Consider the following 23,440-nt stretch of genomic DNA (forward strand, 5'->3'; position numbering starts at 1 on the left):
CCCTTGACTGATTCTCTCCTAACTAGTTTTAAGCAATTTTATAGAATAATCTGCGTATAAGGCACACATTTTAGTCCAGTTCAGTTTTACAAATTTATAAAGCTAACCACCTACACAATCAAATATAGAATATTCCCTTCACCTACACATTTATTGCACGACCTTTGCCAATGAATTCCCTTCAACCCCAGAAAAGTTCAATGCATTTTGTCTTTATATAATTTCAAATTTTATTTACGTGGAAGCATACAATATTTATTATTTAGTATCTGCCTTCTTTCCTCTAGTATATGATAAAAATTCACTTTTTTTTTTTTTGTACAAAGGAATGACAATCCTTCAATTGTAAAAACTAAACAACATGCCACCCAACTAATCACATTCCTTAGGGTATATTTCTGAAATATAAGATACATTTTTTAAAAGAACTTTATTAAAACTCAGGGCTGTTAAAAGTATATATACAAATACAACACTAAAAAATAAAGTTAGGTTTCCAGGCCGGGCTCAGTGGCTCACGCCTGTAATCCCAGCACTTTTTGAGGCCGAGGCAGGCGGATCACGAGTTCACGAGATTGAGACCATCCTGGCTAACACGGTGAAACCCCATCTCCACTAAAAATACAAAAAATTAGCGGGGCTTGGTAGCCTGCGCCTGCAGTCCCATACTCGGGAGGCTGAGGCAGGAGAATGGCGTGAACCCGGGAGTCGGAGCTTGCAGTGAGCTGAGACCATGCCACTGCATTCCAGCCTGGGCAACAAAGCGAGACTCCGTCTCAAAAAAAAAAAAAAAAAAAAAAAAGCTTCTGCAAAGCAGAGGAAGCAATCAGTAGAATGAAAAAACAGGCCGGGCGCGGTGGCTCACGCCTGTACACCCAGCACTTTGGGAGGCTGAGGCGTGCCGATCATGAGGCCAGGAGATCAAGACCATCCTGGGTTAACATAGTGAAACCCCGTCTCTACTAAAAATACAAAAAAAGTGTCCTGGCGTGGTGGCAGGCGCCTGTAGTCCCAGCTACTCGGGAGGCCAAGGCAGGAAAATGGCGTGAACCCAGGAGGCAAAGCTTGCAGTGAGCAGAGATCGTGCCACTGCACTCCAACCTCGGCGACAGACCGAGACTGCGTCTAAAAAAAATTAAATTGAATTAAAATTTAATAAAAACGAAACCACCCAGATAATGGAAGCAAGTATTTGCAAACCATGCATCACACAAGGGGTTCATACACAAAATACATAAAGAACTCAAACTACTGAAAAGCAAACATACAAATGATCTTATTAAAAAAATCTACCCCAAACCTTTGTCCCCCACCATTATTTCCCTACTTTCTTTTCCAAACGGCCTTTGGCCCCCTCCCTCTCACCACCCTTTTTCTTTCACCATCTGCCCCCAAACTTCATCATTTTTTGCCCACCCTCATTTCACAAAGCCGCCTCTACTCTCCTGCTCAACACCCTTTTCCCCATCCATCTACCCAAACCCTTTCCCCAGTTTCTTCCCACCCTCTTTTCCCCTTATCCCTGGCCACCCTTTTTCCCCGTCCCGCTCTCATCACCCTCTTTTGCTCCTTTATCTAAGCAAAAACATTTTCCCCAGTCTTTTCCCAAAACACTCTCCACTCCTGCTGCTCACTACCCTCTTTCCCTGCTTCATCCAACCAAAAACTGTTTTCTTCGTCTTTCCCCGTTCCTCGCCATTCTCTTTCCCTTCTCCATCTACCCAAAAACATTTCCCTCCGTCTTTTCACAAAGCCGCCTCCCCACGCCTATTCACCTCCCTCTTTCCCCCTCCATCTACACCCCAAAACTTTCCCCACCATCTTTTCAAAGTCTCCCCCCTTTACCACTAGTGCTCTTTTTTCCCCTCCCTCTACCCCAAACTATTTTTCCGTTGTTTTCCCAACCCCCATCCCTGCTACCTCTCGCCACCCTCTTTCCTCCTATGCATCACCCTCTTTCCCCCCTCCATCTATCAAAACACTTTTCACCCACCGTCTTTTCACAAAACCTTGTCTTCCTCCTGTTGGCTACCCTCTTTTTCCTTCTCCCACTTGCTACCCTCTTTTGCTCAACCCAAAAACTTTCCCCCCTCACTGTATTTTCTCCCCACTATCTTTTCACAAAACCTTCTCTCCCTGCTGCTCGCCCCATTTTCCCCCATCACCTCCCTCTTTCCTCCGCCCACTTGCCACCCTCTTTTCCCCCTCCATCTACCCTTAAACTTTTTACCCACCCTCTTTCTGCAAAACTTTCCTTCCCTCCCGCTCCCCACCCTGTTTTTACACCTCCATCTACCCAAAAACTTTTTTCCCCACCATCTTTTCGCTGCCATCTTTTTGCAACGTCTTCTCTGGCTAAGCTATCCTTTTTTCCCTTTGGCCCTAACTACCCTCTTTACTCCCCTCTATCTATCCCAAAAGTGTTTTCCTTCTCCTGCCCGCTCCAGCCGCGCTGCTCTCTCCGTCACTGCCAACAACCGCAGTGAGGCGAGCCGCGCTCCCGCGGCTCCAGCCACCAGTATACGGCCACCGACTCCTGATTCCTAGTCCTCTACGTTGGGCAGCAAGAACTCAACATGAAGATACAGGAACTTGAAAAAACGTGGTCCTGCTTCAGCATCATTTATATACTGCGGTAATGCCCACGGAGGTTCCTGGACTGCATGTCTTGATTGGATGAGAAAAAAGCCTCCAGGCTTACTCTGATTGGACTTTATGATCATGTTCTGATTGGATGAGAGCAAGTCTTAACACAACCAATCACAGCATGAAAATAAAGTCCAATCAGAGTAGGCCTAGAGGTTTTTCTCTCATCCAATCAGAACATGTAGTCCAGGAACTGCATTTGCATAACCTCACATATAAAGCATGCTGAGGTGGCGTCAGGTCATTTCAGGCTCTTCTGTGTCGAGCGGAGGAGTAGCTCTGTGTCAAGCTTAGGGGACTGGAAGAGGCCGCAACCTTCCGCCTGCTGGAGGGTGGAGGATGGATGGAGCCTGGAGCCTAGGTCACTACCTTGCTGTGGTTGGTGGTGGCGATAGAGCAGTAGGAGAGCGGTCAGCAGCAGGAGGACTAGAAGGAAGAGGTACTGCCACATGCTGGAGGCTGGAACCTGTGCCACCATGGCTCGCCTCGCTGTGGTTGGTGGTAACGTCGGAGACTGCAGCTCAGCCACGGTGGTAGACATGTGATGGGGTAGGTGAGTTTTCTGGGCCTGCCCTGTATGTCTCTGGGGGCAAGGGTTGGGTGTCCTATTGGGGTTCACCGCTAGAGGCTACCCTGCCTGTGGCAGTGGTCTGGTTTGGGGCACTCTCTGGGTTTGCATTGCTGGTGGTGGGGCAGGTTGCCTGGCTATCTGGGGTTATACTGCCCGTGGTGGCAGGGGTGGTCGGGGGAGGCAGATTGTGTACACTAGCTTGTATTGCTGGTGGCTGGGATAGGATTAGGGGTGCTATCTAATGCTGCACTGCCTGCGGCAGGGAGTGGGTTGGGTGGAGTTATCCGGGGCTACAATGCTGGCAGTGGGGGGTGGTTTAGGGGCGTTGTTGGGTGCTGCACTGTCTGTGACTGGGGGGTGCACCATTAGGAGCTGAACTGCCTGTGGCTGGGTCAGATTGTGGGCACTATTGGGTGGTATGCTCCCTGAAGTGTGTGTGGGGGGGCTTTTGTGGGGGGGATTGGGGTTACATTGCCTGAAACTGTAGGGAGTGTTGGATGTGCTATCCGGGGGCTACACTGCTAGTGGCAGGGGGCAGATTAGGGGTGCCATGGGGGCTACACTGCCAGCGGCATTGGCGAGCTGAGGAGGTGGCAGCGGCAGCGACAGCAGTGGCCTCCTTCTTCTCGTAGCTTCCAAGTAAGGGATCGTTTTCCTCTTCTCAGACTCCAGACTCTAGAAGGCGATTTTCTCTGCTCGAGCTGGATTGCACGGTAGGGCCTCCACACCCACTGTGGTTTCTTGGTCTGCCCTCATGCTTTGTGTTGCGAAGACCACCTGGGACTACCGGGCAGGGAGTAGTATGCACCATGGGGGAAGTGGGAGACAGGGCACTGTGGGTGGAGGTGTCAGGAATGGGAATCAGCCCTTGGGTGGGGAGGGCTGGCTGGGTCTGAGTTTCTCCTACTCAGGCTCCTGGAGGAGGGCAGCCTTGGTGGGCCCAGCAATTCCTGGCCAGCTGGACTTGGCCAGGGGCCGGTTTCAGTGAAGGCACTCGATCCCACCCCAGGCCCCAGTTCCTGGCCAGCTTTTGCCAGAAGGAGAGGTTGGACTTTGGAAGGTGGGTGTGAGTGCCTTCAATGAAACTGATCCCTGACACCCAGTCACCAGCATAACGAGGTGAGGCTCTAATGGTTCCAATCCCTGAGTCCTGTTTTCGGCTTTTCTTGCTTTGCCTGCCCAGCTGCTCCAAGCCAGGCTGAAGGAGGAGAAGGAGTTGCCGCCTGTGGTACGGTCGAGCAGATGACGTGGCTCTGCAGCTTGCCTCATGCAGTTGGTGTTGGAGATGGAGACCACAGCTCGACTGGAGCGGTAGGAGGGCACCCACGGGGGCCTGGTGGTAGGATCCTGGTAGGGTGGGCTGGTACGTTGAGGATAACTGCTTGTATTGGCATCGGCGCTAGTGGTGGTAGCAGTAGGAAGTCTGGGGGCCGGGAAGGGGGAGTAGGAGCACTGCAGGGCCCACCCCGTTCTGGGGTGGGGAGGAACCTGTGGGTGCTGTAACGAAGGCCTCGGTGGCAGTGGTGGTGGTACACCTAGGACAAAGAGGAGTCCTCCCCCTTCTCCTGCAATCTCTGGAGTGTGCCCTCCTCCTGCTGGTGCCTGAGCTAGGCGTGAGTGGCAGCATTATCTCATTCTTAACAAAATTTAGAGGGTGACTATTTGTGTATCCTTTTGCTTGTTTTTTGTTGTGATACTCTTGGAGTTACTCAAATTTTATGAATCGAGGAGGGGATAAAAAGTGTCATATGATAGGCCTTCTAATTCCCACACCTGTTCTTTTTCCTTTCTTCCATTGTGTATTTTCTTCTCATTTTCTTGTTCCTCTTCATTTTCTTTTGCTACTACTATTTCATGTTTGTATTCTTGTTTCTCCTCCTGTTTTTGTATTTTTATGCCAAGCAATAGCCTTAACAAACCAAAACTGAGTTAAAAATAAAATACTTGTCACTGTTGTGTTTTTTAAATAACTGATCCCTTACTATGTTTTAGAGATGAGGAAAAAGAAATCAGTTGTATAATTAGTTACTTGAATAGCTATGCTTTCATAATTGTGTTAGCCCACTTATGCCTAGTGTTCCACGCTAAGCATGTGGAAATTATTTATATCTTACTGTTAAATGTCATCGACAAGGTCTGATTTTTCACTTACGCAAAAATTCAAAAATTGCAACCTCTGGCATAAATGGGCTAATGTGTTGTGTCATTCAAGGAATCAAAAAATGAAACATCACATAAAATATTGGTAGCAAAACAGCCATTTCATCTCTGTCACATATTTTTTTCTGGAGCTATCCAAGAGTCACAGGGGTAATAAGTTCTAATTTATGAGATGATTAAGTGAACCATATTCCCTTCATTTTTTTTTTCTGCCACCATTTTCAAGAGTATTGTCATCTGCATGGCAAAGGGTTCATCACCACATCTTTGCAAGAGGAAAAAGAAGAGGGGAGAATCGTGTATAATGTTGTAAGGCAAACATTCACAACCAAAAACAAGGTTTCATTAAGTTTCGCCTTTAAGAACCTGCAGTGTTTAGCCCTCTTTGATTCCTAGTATTATTACCTTTGGTATGAACTCTTTTATTAAACGGATCACTCTAGAAGTTTATGCGTTTTGTACCATTTTTCAAGCCAACAGAAATGTGTAATGCCTATAATTCTGACACTTTAGTTATTTTTAAGGCTATGAACATGTAAGATACTGTTGGTATATGGAAGAATATGTATAAATATCACTAGGTAGCTTATTTTGAAGAGATAGTATCTAAATTTTTGTCCAGAGTAGATTGGTTGCAGTTTCTTAGGTGTGTTTCTTAATGCTTTGCCTCAATGTTTTAAAGCATGTAGAAATTTGAATACAGTTTAACTGCGTATAGTTGTTTATAGATTTAATATTTCTAAAGACTAAAGACATCACAGCTCCCTTTAAGATTCAGTAATGTTAATAAAATTTTAGAAATATAGGGTTAGAATCCAACAAATTCGGAGGAAAATTGTTAAATTATATAGCTGTAGAGCAGGAATGAAACCCAGGTTCTAAGCTCTAAGGGGGCCATGAGGTACCATACAGGTGCATCAGTGACTGGGCATAGATTCAGCAAAATTACAGGATGGTTAAGAGAGTGAGTTGTGGAGCCCAACTCTATGTAACATGAATTTTTAAACTGCATGGTGCCTCAGTTTATCCATCTTTACAGTGGGGACTGTAGTAAGTTTTTCTTTTTCTGCTCAGTTGTCTGTCTTGTTGCCACTGTTCCCTAGTCTGCCTTGTTGCCACTGTTCCCTAGTCTGTCTTGTTGCCACTCAGTGCCCACATGAGAGGATCTAAGGTAATTTCTGACAGCCTGGGACTCCTTAAAGAAAAACAGAAGGTGCTACAAAACCCATTTTAGGAGAAACCTCTATTGTCCTCATGGAACCCCAAGAACTTCAGGCAGACAGGTCTCTCTCAAAATCTGAGGCTCTCCTCTGTTTTGTTTTGTGTTATCTGACCTTTTAGGTTTGGGTGGGCATCAGAAATCAGTCGGGGAGAGAGATCTAAAGAAAGTTGTGGATATGAAGATGTATTTATGGTAAGAAAAGTTATGATGGAAAGAAATGTTATATGAGAGAGGATCTTGTATGGCAAATTTTTGTCCTAAAGTAGAATGACTAATTATGAAAGAGGGAAATACAGGAAAAGTCAGAAAGTTCATGTCATAGATGGTCTGTGGAATTTGTGTTAGGGTTCATAAAATGAGAAAGAAAAACTTACCACTGCTAGATCTTTTCCTGTCTAGAAGTGTTGTGTATATGATGTATATATAAAGGAGCCCTAATTACTTGGCTTAGAAGAAAAGGAAGGCTCTTAAATATTTTGTCAGAAAAATAGAATCTCTAATGCCTTTTATTTCACATGACTTCAGTAATCTTTGGGAAATGAAGACAGTGTTAAAATCATTTTTTAGTAGAAACAGCGTTTCTCTGTATTGGTCAGGCTGGTCTCGAACTCCTGACCTCAGGTGATCCTCCCGCCTCGGCCTCCCAGAGTGGTGGGATTACAGGCATGAGCCACTGCACCCGGCCTACAAATAGGTTAAATTATTTTATAAATTAGCTGTTGTTTGTTTTGCCTACTTTCAGACTTCCGGATTTTTTTTTAAGTATGAGGAATTTCAATTGTTATATTAATATAAAAGCTTAGATAAATAGCACAAACATGAATTTTTTTTTTTGACAGAGTCTTGCTCTGTTGCCCAAGCTGGAGTGCAGTGGCACAATCTCAGCTCACTGCAACCTCCACTTCCCAGGTTCAAGCTATTCTCGTGCTCAGCCTCCCAAGCAGCTGGGATTACAGGCATATGACACCATGCCTGGCTAATTTTTGTATTTTTAGAGACAGAGTTTCGTCATGTTGTCCAGGCTGATCTCGAACTGGCCTCAAGTGATCTGCCCGCCTTGGTCTCCCAAAGTGTTGGGATTACAGGCGTGAGCCATCGCACTTGGCTGACTGTATTCTTTATGAATTTTTTTTACATCAAAAAGCTCATTTGTAATATTTTCTGTATGTATTCATGCTATAAAATTTATTTTGTTTTATTTTAACTTTTTAAAAATAGAGATAGGGTCTGATTGTTTTGCCCAGCCTGGTCTTGAATTCTGGGCTCAAGTAATTCTCCCACCGTGGCCTCCCAAAGTGCTGGGATTACAGGCATGAGCCACCATGCCCGGCCTATAAAATGTATTGTAAAGGAAAAGGCACATTTTTATTAAGCTGATAATCTTTACATAAATACTGAAGCATGGCATATTTCTTTATTTTACTTGGGCTATTTTATGTTGCATTAAGAAGAATTTTTTGTTTTTTCTTTTTACTATGCTTGTTTCTGGAATACTCCTTTCCTCCCTTATCTTCCAAACTCTGCTACATCTAAATTTATCCTATTTTTCAAGGGTTTGATCACATATTACATCATCCAGGAAGTGTCTCTCCTGTTCCCTCTTCTCCAAAATGTATATTTTTTTTCTAGAAACTCTTGATCCTTTGCCTCTAGACCATAAGCCCTTTGTAGGCATGTCTGTATCTGAGTTTTTAAATTTCATTTCCTCTTTTCCCACTCCCAGAATAACACCTTGTGCCCGGGAGTAGCAGATACTTGTTGAATGCATAAAAGAGCTTTGCAGCTAGAGTTAGTGTGGATGCTGTAGAAGATGTCTGATACACATATGGCAGTTTGATGCTGAATAGTTTTTGGAAATTAAAAAACAGGTAGAAATTTCACCAATGTCAGTGACTAACATAGCTGTAATTAGTAAATTATCAAAATATTTCTTTTTTTTTCTTTTTTACAGAGAAAGTCTCTCTCTGTTGCCCAGGCTGGAGAGTAGTGGTGTGATCATAGTTCAGTGCAGCCTCCGAGTCCTGGGTTCACACTGTCCTCCTGAGTAGCTGGGACTACAGGTGTGTGCCACCACACCTGGTCAATTTCTTTTATTTTGTAGAAACAGAGTCTCATTATGTTGCCCAGGCTGACCTCAAATTGCTGGGCTCAAGTGATCCTCCCACCTTGGCCTCCTGAAGTGCTGGGATTATAGGTGTGGGCCACTGAGCCCAGTTAAAAGCATTTCTTTAAAAAAGAAAAAAAATTCTGTTTATTGGGATTTGGGGGAGGAAGAGAAAGTAAATATGGGATTGGTTCATCCTAGACAGCACTCATGGTTCTAGATAATATTAGAATGCAATAATGTTTTAATTTATATATGCAGGAAATTTTGGAGTAGTTTCAATCCTAGGAAAAAACTGGGAGTTAGAAATATGGGAAGATTGGCCGGCACGGTGGCTCATGCCTGTAATCCCAGCACTTTGGGAGGCCGAGGCAGGCGGATCACGAGGTCAAGAGATCGAGACCATTCTGGCCAACATGGTGAAACCCCGTCTCTAGTAAAAATATAAAAAAAAAAAAACAAAACAAAACTAGCTGTGCATGGTGGCACGCGCCTATAGTCCCAGCTACTCGGGAGGCTGAGGCAGGAGAATTGCTTAAACCTGGGAGGCAGAGGTTGCAGTGAACCGAGATTGTGCCACTGCACTCCAGCCTGGCGACAGAGCGAGACTCCCATCTCAAAAAAAAAAAAAAAAAAGAAAGAAATATGGAATAGTTGGTTGATTATAATAGAATTTAGGATTCCCTTTGAAAGAATAATATCGACTAGTTTATATAAAAAATTAAATTCTTAAGTAGATTAGTCAGGAGTAAAGGAAAAGTCAAGATTCCCAACTTATTTGGATTTCTTTCCCCCATTACAGCGTACTCGAGGAACAAAATTTGGGCTGTTTGGCTGTTTTTATTCTTTGTTATACAGAAATAAACTGATATCAAAACCAAACATATTGAGGTTATATTTTTCTTTCCTTTCTTATTTTTTTTTGAGACGGAGTCTCGCTCTCACCCAGGCTGGAGTGCAGTGGCATGGTCTCGGCTCACTGCAAGCTCCACCTCCCAGGTTCACGCCATTCTCCTGCCTCAGCCTCCAGAGTAGCTGGGACTACAGGTGCCCGCCACCATGCCCGGCTAATTTTTCCTACTTGTAGTAGAGACAGGGTTTCACCATGTTAGCCAGGATGGTCTTGATCTCCTGACCTTGTGATCTGCCTGCCTTGGCCTCCCAAAGTGCTGGGATTACAGGAGTGAGCCACCACGCCCGGCGAAGGTTACATTTTTCTAGGAAAATTCGACTCAGATTTATGATGAGAGTCACCTTTATGCTTATAGATTGCCCCTTTACCCCATACTTGGTTGAACTGACAGACATTCTTCTTGCCATTATCACTGTCATACACTGTTCACATTCAGAGTAATTTGTTTTAGGCAATTCATTTCCCTTGGCAATAACAGAGATTTATGTAATTTTGAAAATGTTTAAGTAGTCATCATCATGACTTTGAGTTTCTGTTCAAAGATGTTTAACTTTGCATTACTTTTAAGATTTTTAAATTCATTTTTAATTAGAATAACTTTTATGTATTTGGAGGTATTTGGAATGAAATCAAAACTTATGCTATCTAGGAGTTATAACCTAAAATATGCAGAACGTTAATATACCTGATGTAGGAGTATATACATCCTGTTGAGGGGGTAGAAAGAAGTTACTTTATATTCACATAAAATCATTTTAATGCATGAAGGAGGATATGCTATTTTAAAATCTTATCTTTCACTAAGTATAAGTAATACATTATTTTTTATATATACTGAAATTGAAAGAACCGCTTCCTGGATGTAATCTACTGAGTTTGTTGCATATTCTTCCAGTTTTTTTTTCTGTTTGTATAATTTTCTGTATTATGGAATCATAATGTACTATTCTTTTGTATACTACTGTTCCAAGTTTGTCTATTTATTTCAGAGTTACCTCTATCAATCATTAACAGCAACTTAATACCCCATTTCTAGTACATGAAAATACCATAATTTGCCAGCGGCACGGTGACTCACTCCTGTTGTCCCAGTACTTTGGGAGGCTGAGGTGGCTGGATCACCGGAGGTCAGGAGTTCAAGACCAGCCTGGCCAACATGGTGAAACCCCATTTCTACTAAAAATACAAAAATTAGCAAGGCATGGTGGCATGTGCCTGTAATCGCAGCTACTTGGGAGGCTGAGGCAGGAGAATCACTTGAAACTGGGAGGAGGAGATTGCAGTGAGCCATGCCTCTGAACTCCAGCCTGGGTGACAGAGTGAGACTCTGTTTCAAACAAAAAAAGAGAAAATACCATAATTTGCTTAATCAACTTATGGTCACTGGATTTTTTTTTTTTTGCCAGAAAAACAAAGCTGTAAACAATTGTGTGTGTGTGTATGAATATTTATGCACATGTACATATGTATATGTATTTTGTGTACTTGTACAAACAGCTTTGTAGGATAGATTCCTAGAAGTGGAGTTGCTGAAACCAACTCCACTTTTGATTTGAATTCAAATCAAAAGATGTGAATAATGTAGATATGGATAGATATTTATACATTTTCCTTCCAAAAGATTGTTGTACCAATTTGTAAAGCTACCAGTAGTATTCAGGTATGCCCCATACCCTGGCCAATACTAGATATTACAGTTCAAAACATTTTGACAATTTAGGAACTGAAAAAATGTGATTCTGATTGGTGTTTTATCAATCACTGTTGATGATGAACTGTTTTTAATATGGAGAGAGTTGTATTTCTTTCTTTCTTTTTTTTTTTTTTTGAAACGGAGTGTTGCTCTTGTTGTCCAGGCTAGAGTGCAATGGCTTGATCTCAGCTCACTGCAACCTCTGAATCCTGGGTTCAAGCAATTCTCCTGCCTCATCCTCCATAGTAGCTGGGATTATAGGCATGCACCACCACTCCTGGCTAATTTTATATTTTTAGTAGAGATGGGGTTTCTCCATGTTGGCCAGGCTGGTCTCAAACTCTCAACCTCAGGTGATCTACCCACCTTGGCCTCCCAAAGTGCTGGGATTACAGACATAAGCCACCGCGCCTGGCTTTTTTTTTTTTTTTTTTTTTTTTAGACAGAGACTCGCTCTTGTTACCCAGGCTGGAGTGCAGTGGCAGGATCTCGGCTGACTGCAAACTCCGCCTCCCATGTTCAAGCGATTCTCCTGCCTCAGCCTCCCAAGTAGCTGGGATTACAGGCATCTGCCACCACTCCCAGCTAATTTATGTATTTAGTAGAGATGGGATTTCACCATGTTAGTCAGGCTGGTCTTGTACTCCTGACCTCAGGTGATCCACCCACCTCAGCCTCCCGAAGTGCTGGGATTACAGGTGTGCGTCAACTGCGCTTGGCCATATGTCTTTTATAAATTGTCTATTTTTGCTGTTTGTTTATTTTCTGATGGGGCTACTGGTTTTTAACAGGTTAAAAGTTCTCTACATATTCACTTTTTTTCTTTCTTTTTCTTTTCTTTTTTTTTTTTTTTTGAGACAGAGTTTTGCTCTTGTTGCCCAGGCTAGAGTGCAATGGCATGATTTCAGCTCACCTCAACCTCCGCCTCCCGGGTTCAAATGATTCTCCTGCCTCAGCCTCCTGAGTAGCTGGGGTTACAGGCCTGCGCCACCATGCCTGGCTAATTTTGTATTTTTACTAGACGTGGGGTTTCTCCATGTTGGTCAGGCTGGTCTGAAACTCCCGACTTCAGGTGATCCGCCCGCCTGGGCCTCCCAAAGTGTTGGGATTACAGGCGTGAGCCAACGTGCCCTGGCTTTATTCACTTTTTTCATACGTGTGCACATATCCCCCTAGCTATTCTTTTGTAATGTTATGTAGTCAGATAAATCCAAACCCAGCACTGTGCTGCTGTGGGAACTTGGGCACATTATTTAACCTCTGTACACCTTCATTTCCTTGTTTGTAAAATGGAGATAATATAAATAGCATTAGGCATAGTGGATGGCACAAAGTAAGTAAATAATAAATGTTAGCTGTGACTCATTAATTTATTGATGTGACTTTTGTGTTTTGTGCTCAAAGTAGACTTTCCTTGCTCCAAAATGTAAAATATTCATCTATCTACTAAACTAGAAAAACAAAGTGAGGAACATTATATGCCTCTATGTGTCTTTGCTTTAAAGATGAAAACGTATACATTTTTGCTTGTATATCACAGGATATATGATACTTGGAAACATTGGTTGTCATAGTAAGAAGAATGAGTGAGAGGAAGACTTTTTAACTGCATGCGTTTTTGTATTTTTAAAACAAAGAAGTCCCCAGATTGTATTTAATACTTCAATGGTTTCTTTTTTTCCTTTTCCTTCTCTTTTTAAAACTTCTAATTCTTTGATCCATCTGGAATTTACTTCTGGTATAAGAAGTGAGACATATTTTGGGGGATAAAATTGTGTGTGAATTCTACCCCAACTAGCTAGTTGTGTCAGCACCATTTAGTGAATAATCTGTTTTTTGCCCCACTATTAGAATTGCAGCTTTTGTCATTTACTAAATGTGTTTGGGACTATTTCTGATTGGTCTTGTTATTTTGGTCTCTTGTGTATTACCATACACTTTAAATTACTATCATTTTATAATTTTAATACAGATGGGGTTAGTTACCTGTTCATTACTCTTTTTTTTCAGACTTTGACATTTCTGGTCTATGTGTTCTTCTAGATGAACTTTAGAATCATTCTGTGACATTCAAAAAGAAATCATAGAGATTTTTATTGAATACTGAATATTGATTGGGAGTACTGAAATTGTAGGTGAAGTTTGGGGAAATTGACATCTTTATGTACTTACTGTCCTGTGTTCTAATAGATTTTTATGTCTCTCTGTAGATTTTCAAACTTTGCTTCAAATAAGTCCTGTACAAATAAGTCTTGTATATTTCTTGTTTATTTATTTTAAAAAACATCAGACCCATGAATGGGAGTTTGTTTATTTTATTCAACAAATATTATAGAGAATCAAACAGGTAGTTTTTATTCTAGTGAGAGAAGACAGAATATACTCAAATAAAATGAAGTACGTAATCCATTTCAGATTATGATAAACCTGTAAAGGAACCAAAAGGGTGATGTGATTGAGAGTAACTAGTGGGAACTTACCTTATATGTAGGATGGTTGGAAAGACTCTTCTGAGATGACATTTGAACTGGGACCTTAAGTTTGAGGAGGAGCTAGCCACCTGAATGAGCCAGGAACAGCGTTCCTGGTAGAGAGTAAAGAAGGACGAAGGCCCAGCTAGGAAAGACCTGGCAGAGAAGGGCTCCTAAAGAAACTGAAAGGAAACTCATGTTGCTGGGGCCTAGTGAGCAATCTAGAAAGTAAGGAGGCCAAATCAAGTAGGGCCTTGGGTCATCGTAAGTAGTTGAGACTTTATTTGCAGTGCGTAGGAAATCCTTGGGGAATCTGAAGCAGGAGAGTGACATGTTCTGATTTAAGGTTTAAAAAGAACACTTGGCTTTTTGAGTTGAGAAAGTATTGAAGTGGGAAGCCCAGTTAGGAGTTTTTCCAGCAAGAGGTAAGGAGGGTGGTAGTTAGATGGAGAGGCCTGGGAAGCTTCAGAGTCTGTGCGTGTGTGTGTGTGTGTGTGTGTGTGTGTGTTCGTGTGTAAGGAACAGCCAAACAACTTGCTGTTGGAGTGGGTGCTACTGAGAGCTAAGTACTGCTAGCTGCTGCAGAGGCCGTGTAGAGCAGAACAGAGCTGATATTTGCCTTCACAGGTGTTTGATAGTTCTGTTTGTTTCTAAGGTGTGTACCAAAATAAAGTAGGCTAAGAGCATTTGACTTTAAGATTTGTGGAGCTCGGGGGTGTTGAGGGGGGTGCAGCAAAAAGCAGAGTCTGTGAATAACCCTTGATTTATATTGCTTAATAACCTGTAGTCTCTGTTAGTGGGTCAAAGGGGAGGCAGCAGCAGATGATCTTTAAGGTATCTGTCTCTGAGTTAGAAAAACATAGCTTGAGGAAGTTATGCAGCTTCCCTACAGCCTTAGAGCTAATAGTGGAACCAGACTTTTAGGTGAGCTCATGCACACACCAAGTCTTAGCACACTGCCTAATATATATTTAGAGCTCAATAAACGGTAACTCTTTTAGTAATATCCACTCAGATATTGTTATATCTATTAACTCAGGCCAAATATCTACATTAAAATTTTTATCTTAATTTCTTTGTTCTTCTTTTGTGTTAATCAAGGAGGGAATTGGCATGTAGTCATCCATTTTGCTTGTGAAATTTATTTGTTCTTTTTTTGTTTGTTTTGAGATGAAGTCTTGCTCTGTCGGTCAGCCTGGAGTGCAGGGGTGTGATTTTGGATCACTGCAACCTCTGCCTCCCAGGTTCAAGTGATTCTCATGCCTCAGCTTCCTGAGTAGGTGGGATTACAGGTGTGCACCACCACGCCTGGCTAATTTTTTGTATTTTTTTTTTTTTTGAGATGGAGTCTCACCCTGTCACCCAGGCTGGAATGCAGTGGTGTGATCTCTGCTCACTGCAACCTCTGCCTCCCAGGTCCAAGTGAATCTCTTGCCCCAGCCTCCCAAGTAGCTGGGATTACAGGTGCACGCCACTATGCCCGGCTAATTTTTGTATTTTTAGTAGAGATGGGGTTTCACATGTTGGTCAGGCTGGTCTTGAACTCTTGACCTCATGATCCTCCCGCCTCAGCCTCCCAAAGTGCTGGGATGACAGGTGTGAGCCACCATGCCCAGCCATATTTTTTGTATTTTTAGTAGAGACAAGGTTTCACCAGGTTGGCCAGACTGGTCTTGAACTCCTGACCTCAAGTGATCCACCTTCTTCTGCTTCCCAAAGTGCTGGGATTAGAGACGTGAGCCACTGTGCTTGGCTGGTTTTGAAATATATTTGTTCTTATAAGTTGAGTGAGTGAGTGTTGTTCAGTTCAGAGAATTAGTTCAGTGTAGTGCCGACATACCACAGAGTTCTCAGTTGGATATTGTTACATTGTACTCCTGTCTTGGGACAGCACTTTATGTAGAGGTAAAGTAGCATCATTTTTCTTTCATTTAAGAATTATGTATTTATTATTTTTTGAGATAGAGTCTTGTTCTGTTGCTCAGGCTGGAGTGCAGTGGCACGATCTTGTCTCACTGCAACCTCTACCTCCTGAGTTCAAGTGATTCTCATGCTCAGTCTCCTGAGTAGCTGGGATTACAGACATGTGCCACCACGCCCGGTTAGTTTTTGTATTTTTAGCGTAGAAGGGGTTTCGCCTTTTTGGCCAGGCTGGTCTCAAACTCCTGGCTTCTAGTGATCCACTTGCCTCGGCCTCCCAAAGTGTTGGGATTACAGGCATAAGCCACTGTGCCTGGCCAGAATTACTTATTGAATATGTGTACCCATAGATTTATCAAATAATTGTATCCTTATTAAAATTTTTCTTTCAATATCATACTTTATAAGAGGTAGGATAGGTTAACTAAAAAGCTTTTTCTTTAGCTTCCATTTGTTTCTCTGTCTTTAAGTAAGATGTCATGATGTCAGAAGAGGCTGCAAATAAAATACCTTGTCAATGGCATTCCCCCAGATTAGATCTTAACCAAAAGTCTGAGAAGCAGTAGCTTTTTTTCCCCTCAAAGGGAAGAATGCTTTAGTTTATTTTACAGGAGAAAATTTATTCCAGTATAGCACCACTCTGGTCTTGTACAAATTACAGAATTCACTTAGATAATTTCTAGTCTTTCCTCTCCTGGATGCTGGACTCTGTAATAAGTTTAGGAGGTCAGCTTTCTTTAAATTATCCCCAGGTTGGAGGATTTTAGGTGTCGGGATGCCCAGGGTGGTGGTCCTTCTTAGCCTTGTCTTGCCTAACATACTTTTAAAATTGGTCTAGAGCTGGACAGCTTTGTGGGAACTGGTGTGACCTAATTTGCTTCAGTTTAATAACTAATATTTTAGCATTTGAATGTCATAGAGGCATTGCCCTATCACATACTTTTGTATCAGGAGGTTTTATTATTTTGTCAGTTAAAAATTGCATGTTTTGTAGGATCCTTTTTCTGCTTTGGTGAAATGTAGGCTTCACCTCTATTGTGACGCTTGGTGGATTCATTCTTGCTCATCTGAAGTGGCATCTGCGGTCCTGCCACAGTGAAGTATATTTTTAGCTTTTTTTTTTTTTTTTTTTTTTTTGAGATGGAGTCTCTCTCTGTTGTCAAGCTGGAGTGCGGTGGCACGATGCCAGCTCACTACAACCTCCGCTTCCCGGATTCAAGCGATTCCCCTGCCTCAGCCTCCCGAGTAGCTGGGACTACAGGTGTGCACCACCATGTCCGGCTAATTTTTTTTTGTATTTTAGTAGAGATGGAGTTTCACCATGTTGGCCAGGATGGTCTTGATTTCCTGACCTTGTGATCTGCCGGCCTTGGCCTCCCAAAGTGCTGGGATAACAGGCGTGAGCCACTGTGCCCGGCCATTTTTAGGTTTTTTCCCAAGATGGCTTAGGCCACCTTGAACACCTTTGCATAACACATTTTGGTTATGCAAAGGTTGTGGGCCAAAAGCCAGGAGTTCCTGCTGGGAGGAAAAATTGCTTGTTTTTTGGCAGGATAGTATTTGAAATTCTGTTGTTGCAAGATTTTCCTGTTGAGTAAATATGTGTGTGTTTATTTAATATGAGAAGATTTAAAAAGGAACTTAAATAGATCAATTTCATTTTGCAATATTGTATTACCTGTTTGCAATATGTAAGAGGCTAGTTCTGGGTTTATCTGTATAATTCAGTTAGAAGTGCTATTGTCTTTTATGACAGTGACATATAATTATTACTATATTATTCTCATCCTAAAACATTATGTGTTGATATTTAAGAGATGAGGAAGTTGCTTATAAAATCTTGATCAGATTTCTTAAACAATTCATAGAATTTTTTTAGTTCATGAGTCAACCATGTAACTACCCTGAGTTAACGAGCTTTGGTGCTAAGAACTGAAATTATAATTTGATACTGCCACTTAAGGTGCTCCCTTCCCCTTCAGTCTGAACTTTAGATTCTTTCATTTCAGTGGGTTTCAAATGTAAAGTATTCTGCCGAGGTATCTTAGTGAGCCAGGACTGAAGTGAAGGGTGGAGGGAGGGATGGGGAAGGGCAGGGGGAGACTGAAAAGATGAATCCTAGGTCTCCCATTCTCACTAGATCAGAATGTTTCTCCATTGTACCTTTTGTACATTTAGCTTTCATTTAAGACTTTCGAGGAAAACCTTCTGGTTAATAAACAAGATCTGAGCACTGTTGCCCTGTATCTCATGGATAAGTTTTGAGGAAGGTGGTTGTAGTGGTCTCCAGGCTGCAGTTCATGTGAGGAAAGGAAGGGCTTGCTTTGACCTGTAAATTTGTATGCCAGTAGGGGCTAATTCCTGAACTTGCTAGTGTTTTTTTTTTTTCCCCCTTCTGTATTGGGCGAATAGTACTTTTAAATAAAACTGACTTTTTTGTTTTTTTTTTGAGATAATAAAGTTAAACTTCATTAAAGTCATACCACAAAACTAGGGCAACAGGAAGGATTACTGAGATGAGGGAAAAAATGGAGAAGTCACTTAACTTGTGACTTTGAGTGACATTGAGTGTAATTGTTGAACTCAGGACTCACCATAGCTGAAAGTTAAACAATGTGCATTAAAAAATTGTACCTCATGGGTTTCTAATCATTTAGGCCACTGTTAGAAAAAAATGGGTTAAAATCTTTTTTTTTTTTTTTGCCTCTGCATTCCATTTATAGCTTTATTTATTTGGGATGTCTGAGTTGGGAGGAGAGCGCAGAGATAGATCACTTAAAGCATGTTTTAGGACAGCAGATCAGAATTAGTTGGAAAACTTCTACAAAATGCATGAACGTTCATATAGTGAAATACTCTTGTTTTTGGACAGAGTTTCATTCTTGTTGCCCAGGCTGGAGTGCAATGGCATGATTTCGGCTCACCGCAACCTCTGCCTCCCAGGTTCAAATGATTCTCCTTCCTCAGCCTCTCGAGTAGCTGGGATTACAGGCATGTGCCACCATGCCTGACTAATTTTTGTATTTTCAGTAGAGACGGGGTTTCAGCTTGTTGGTCAGGCTGGTCTCGAACTCTCGACCTCAGGTGATCCACCCGCCTTAGCCGACCAAAGTGCTGGGATTACAGGCGTGAGCCACCGCGCCTGGCCCATATAGTGAAATACTCTTTAGCAATAGAAAGAACCATAGATGCATGAGAATAATTGCCAAGATGTATTTTTTTTTGTGGGGGGGACGGAGTCTTGCTCTGTCGCCCAGGCTGGAGGTTGGTGATGTGATCTCGGCTCACTGCAAGCTCTGCCTCCTGGGTTCACGCCATTCTCCCCACCTCAGCCTCCTGAGTAGCTGGGACTACAGGCACCCGCAACCATGCTTGGCTAACTTTTTTGTATTTTTAATAGAGACGGGGTTTCACTGTGTTAGCCAGGATGATCTTGATCTCCTGACCTCATGATCCACCCGCCTCAGCCTCCCAAAGTGCTGGGATTACAGGTGTGAGCCACCGCGCCAGGCCAACCAAGATGTATTAAGTAATAAAAGCAAGATACAGAACAGTGTGTTTCTAGTATGCCACCATTTACATAGGGGAAAAAGTGTGAGTGTATGTATGTGTAGGATATTTCTAAAGGACACTCTAGAAACTAGTAACTTTGGTTGCCTTCTGGGAGGGTAACTGGGTAACAGCTGGAGGAGAAGGGCGAGGAGATTTTTCACTTTGTATTCTGTGGTACTTTTAAAAACTCTTAAGTCCTGCATATAATGTTTATTTCTAAAAAGATCAACCCTCCCCACAATGCCACATGTTGGCTTTTCCCTTTCCACCTGGAGCAGTTGCAGATGTATAGATGAGGCGAAAGCTCCTCAGGTGGTTTTAATGTCTGGTCTCACGGAACATCTCAGCTCCTCCTAGTTCACTACTTGCTGAGAAAGCCGCAAAACATTGCAGAAAACATTAGTTTTTCCCATTTTGCCACAGACAATTTTGTGATACTGGAGGAATTATTGACTTTCTCTGATCTTCACGTTTCTCACCTGTCAAGTCAGTGTTAGTTGGGTAATCTCAACCTTCCAATCCTTAAGATTTGCTGACCTCCATGCCTCGGGCCTTGGAAGGGAGCAGGGAGAAAATAGACTGAGGGACAGCTGGTCAGTCTTCTGACTCTTCTCCTGGTCAGCTTTCACAACAGCAGGAAACGTGACATCAGGAGAAAGGATGATATATTTATTTAAAATATTTATATATTACATGGTACCACATGCAGTTTTTAAAGTTCTTTTTTTTTTTTTTTGAGATGGAGTCTGGACCCCTCACCCAGGCTGGAGTGCAGTGGCACCATCTCAGCTCACTGCAACCTCCGCCTCCCAGCTTCAAGTGATTCTCCTGCCTCAGTCTCCCGAGTAGCTGGGTTTACAGGCATGTGCCACCATGCCTGGCTAATTTTTTGTATCTTTAGTAGAGACTGGGTTTCACCATGTTGGCCAGGCTGGCCTTGGAACTCCTGACCTTGTGATCTGCCCGCGTTGGCCTCCTAAAGTGCGTGAGCCACCACACCTGGCCTTAAAGTTCTTTCTATACATTTTTTCTTTTATTTTTTGAGTCAGAGTTTCATTGTGTCACCCAGGCTGGAGTGCAGTGGCACAATCATGGCTCACTGCAGTCTTGACCTCCTGGGCTCAAGTGATCCTCCTGCCTCAGCCTTCCAGGTAGCTGGGACCATGGGTGTGTACCGCCATGCCTAATTATTTTTTTCTTTTTTTTTTTTTTTGAGACAGAGGCTTGCTCTGTCGCCCAGGCTGGAGTGCAGTGGCCCGTCCTCGGCTCACTGCAAGCTCCAACTCCTGGGTTCATGCCATTCTCCTGCCTCAGTTTCCCGAATAGCTGGGACTACAGGCACCCACCACCACGCCCAGCTACTTTTTTGTATTTTTAATAGAGAGGGGGTTTCACCGTGTTAGCCAGGATGGTCTTGATCTCCTGACCTCGTGATCCGCCCGCCTCGGCCTCCCAAAGTGCTGGGATTATAGGCATGAGCCACCACACCTGGCCGCCTAACTAATTATTATTATTATTATTTTAATTTTCTTGTAGAGATAGGTCTGGCTTCATTGCCCAGGCTGGTCTTGAACACCTGGCCTTAGGAGATCCTCCGATCTTGACTTCCCAAAGTGCTGGGATTACAGATGTGAGCCACTGTGGCCAGCCTATAAGTTTTGTTTTAAAGTTAGATTGAATGATAATTCCCTAGAAAATTTTATTTTCTAAACCTAACTAGATAAAAAATATATTAATAAAAACTGGGAAATTGATCAATTTGTCATACTGAATTATTTTTTGAATTTGCCCTCTTCCCAAATACATTGAAATGATGGAAAGAAAATTAAAACTTTCATAATAAAGTATTAAATGGGTGGAGATTTTATATACATAAAATTATATCTGTTATATTTTTATGTATACAATTATGTAATTTTCATCTTATATTTAAATTCTATTTTTTTAAAACCACCGAATTAGGTAATAATAGAACTCCGGTCTTAAAGTAAGAGTGTATGTACACACATGCACATGTACATATGTGTATATAAAATTTTTGTCATGGGAGTTTTATATATAATTAAGATAAAAATTATATATTATGGCACACATTTTTATACATATGTAATATTCTCTACCATATGTATGTAAAATACTCCCATATTAATTATGTATAACATAAATATTTGTGTTATCCTGAAACATAAACATAGATAATCATGTTTTAGGATGGGAATACTCAGGAGTATAAGGGTACCTGTTCTCCCATTAGTCAGTCTGTGAATTCAATATTTATGTGTTCTCATCCAGAATTTCTCTGGGACCTGACAAGCTGACTGTGATGCTTGTGTGTAAGAGGAAATGTGCTAGAATAGCTGGGAAGGTGGTGAAAGTAGCAGCAACAACAAAGCACAGTGAGGTGAAACTTGCCCTGCTGGATATGAAACCTCATAATACTAGAGTAATTTGAAAAGTGTGGCATTGGCACAAGAAAAGACAGACAAACCAAATTAGTCTAGAATTGTGGACAAGTAGGAATATACTTTATAATGAAGATGGCTTTGTTTTTCTTTCTTTTTTTTTTTTTGAGATGGAGTCTTACTCTGTTGCCCTGGCTGGTGTGCAATGGCGTGATCTCGGCTCACTGAACCTCTGCCTCCCAGGCTCAAGCGATTCTCTTGCCTCAGCCTCCCAAGTAGCTGGGATTACAGGCGCATGTCACCATGCCCGGCTAATTTTTGTATTTTTAGTAGAAAAGAAGTTTCACCATGTTGGCCAGGCTGGTCTCGAACTCCTGACCTCAAGTGATCTGCCCGCCTCAGCCTCCCAGAGTGCTGGGATTACAGGAGGAGCCACTACTTATGACCTTCTTTTTCTTTATTTGCTATTTCAGTTCCATAGAAGCATGCGAAGAGTAACATAACAAATGTCCATCTACCTACCATCTGTGATTACAAAACTTAGTATTTTATCATCCTTGCTTCAGAATTATTTAATAAAGACAATACTTCCTCTGCACAAATGCTTACCTTAAAACTACTCTTGAATTATTTTCACGATTGACTTATCAACTCCCAAATTTAAAACCATGTATTTTTGTCTTTATATTCCTCAGACATTTATAGAAAGTTATTTACTGAGCAGTTACTATGTGCCAGATATTATGCTGTTTTTATATACTGTTTTTACTTTATATAGCTAATTATATTATTTGTCACATATTAACCTATTTTAAATATAAAAAGAAATGACGCATTAATGTTTTCAAACCTTGGTAACTTTTATTAAGTAAATACTTGAGAGGAAGCTTTTACTGGTAATTGTGGTTTTATTTATGTAGCTATAGTTATAATTTATTAGAAGTACACTTGGTGTTTTAGTTCTTATTAATTCTATTTTTTTCCCATCCTGTTCAGGTGGTTTCCTAGAAACATGATTGTTTATTGGCGTTGATCTCAGTCTGGTGAGGACTTCTTTACTGATAATGTCAAGTTCAGGTTACCCTCCCAACCAAGGAGCATTCAGCACAGAACAAAGTCGTTATCCTCCTCACTCTGTAAAGTATACGTTTCCCAGCACCCGCCACCAGCAGGTAAGGAACAAATACTATGCAAATTGCACGTGTTTTTTGTGTTTTTCTTTACTTTTCCTATTTAATACACATGTTGGTAGAAACCACCAAATTTACCTTTTTTTTTAAGTGGCAAGAGCTATTTACAAAGACGAGGAACCAAAGGTTGGGAATTAATTATTTCTGTCTTCTTACTGTGGCTTTATGCCAATTTCAGGAGTTGAACTTGTCTTTGCTTTTGATGACAGGAGTTGATGATAAATAGAAAACTTATCAATTCTCTAGAATTTCTAGGGTAAGACCTATATTTATACTCCCAAGTTGTGGTTGAGTTTTAAGCTGGCCAGATAACTTGGCATGTCTTGAGTGATGGCCAGGATAAAGACCTCTGTCTTCTTGAGAGATTGATGGTACGAAGATTTGTATAGTAGGTAGGAAGGAAGGAAGGGATGGTAGATAGGAAGGAAGACTTTATCATAGGAAGAGTTTGTAAGAGATTGATTTACCTTGTGAAAAATAAAGTATGAGGTGAAATAATCATCTCAGAGTAGACCAAGGATATGGGTGTAAGAGGTTTAAAGAAAAATAGGAAAGGATGGGATAAAACGGTCCTCTCAGAGACTCAGAAAGCAGAT

At 41.8% G+C, this 23,440-nt stretch overlaps 1 long non-coding RNA gene across 6 annotated transcripts in view, besides 1 other annotated feature; it reads left to right on the plus strand.

Moving 5' to 3' along the window:
- The first annotated feature begins 2,889 nt into the window (after positions 1-2,889).
- The window catches only part of LOC101930665 (uncharacterized), a 31,355-nt gene continuing 10,804 nt past the window's right edge, over positions 2,890-23,440 (plus strand). The window contains exons 1-4 of one of the 6 annotated variants that reach the window (XR_934333.3): positions 2,890-3,199; positions 3,850-3,930; positions 4,401-4,528; positions 22,651-22,826. This is a non-coding gene — a long non-coding RNA (uncharacterized LOC101930665). The remainder of the gene's footprint in view (positions 3,200-3,849; positions 3,931-4,400; positions 4,529-22,650; positions 22,827-23,440) is intronic. The other 5 variants (XR_934335.3, XR_934334.3, XR_934336.3 and 2 more) reach the window with 5 other exon arrangements.
- Positions 3,683-3,921: a silencer, noted in NCBI's record as "fragment chr17:21516952-21517190 (GRCh37/hg19 assembly coordinates)". NCBI's record gives its function as "represses an EF-1alpha promoter that drives an FKBP-Casp9 reporter gene in an ReSE screen in K562 erythroleukemia cells {active_cell/tissue: K562}" and the evidence as "EXISTENCE:reporter gene assay evidence [ECO:0000049][PMID:32094911]".

The sequence above is a fragment of the Homo sapiens genome, chromosome 17, assembly GCF_000001405.40.
Source record: "Homo sapiens chromosome 17, GRCh38.p14 Primary Assembly".
Taxonomy (NCBI): Eukaryota; Metazoa; Chordata; class Mammalia; order Primates; family Hominidae; genus Homo; species Homo sapiens.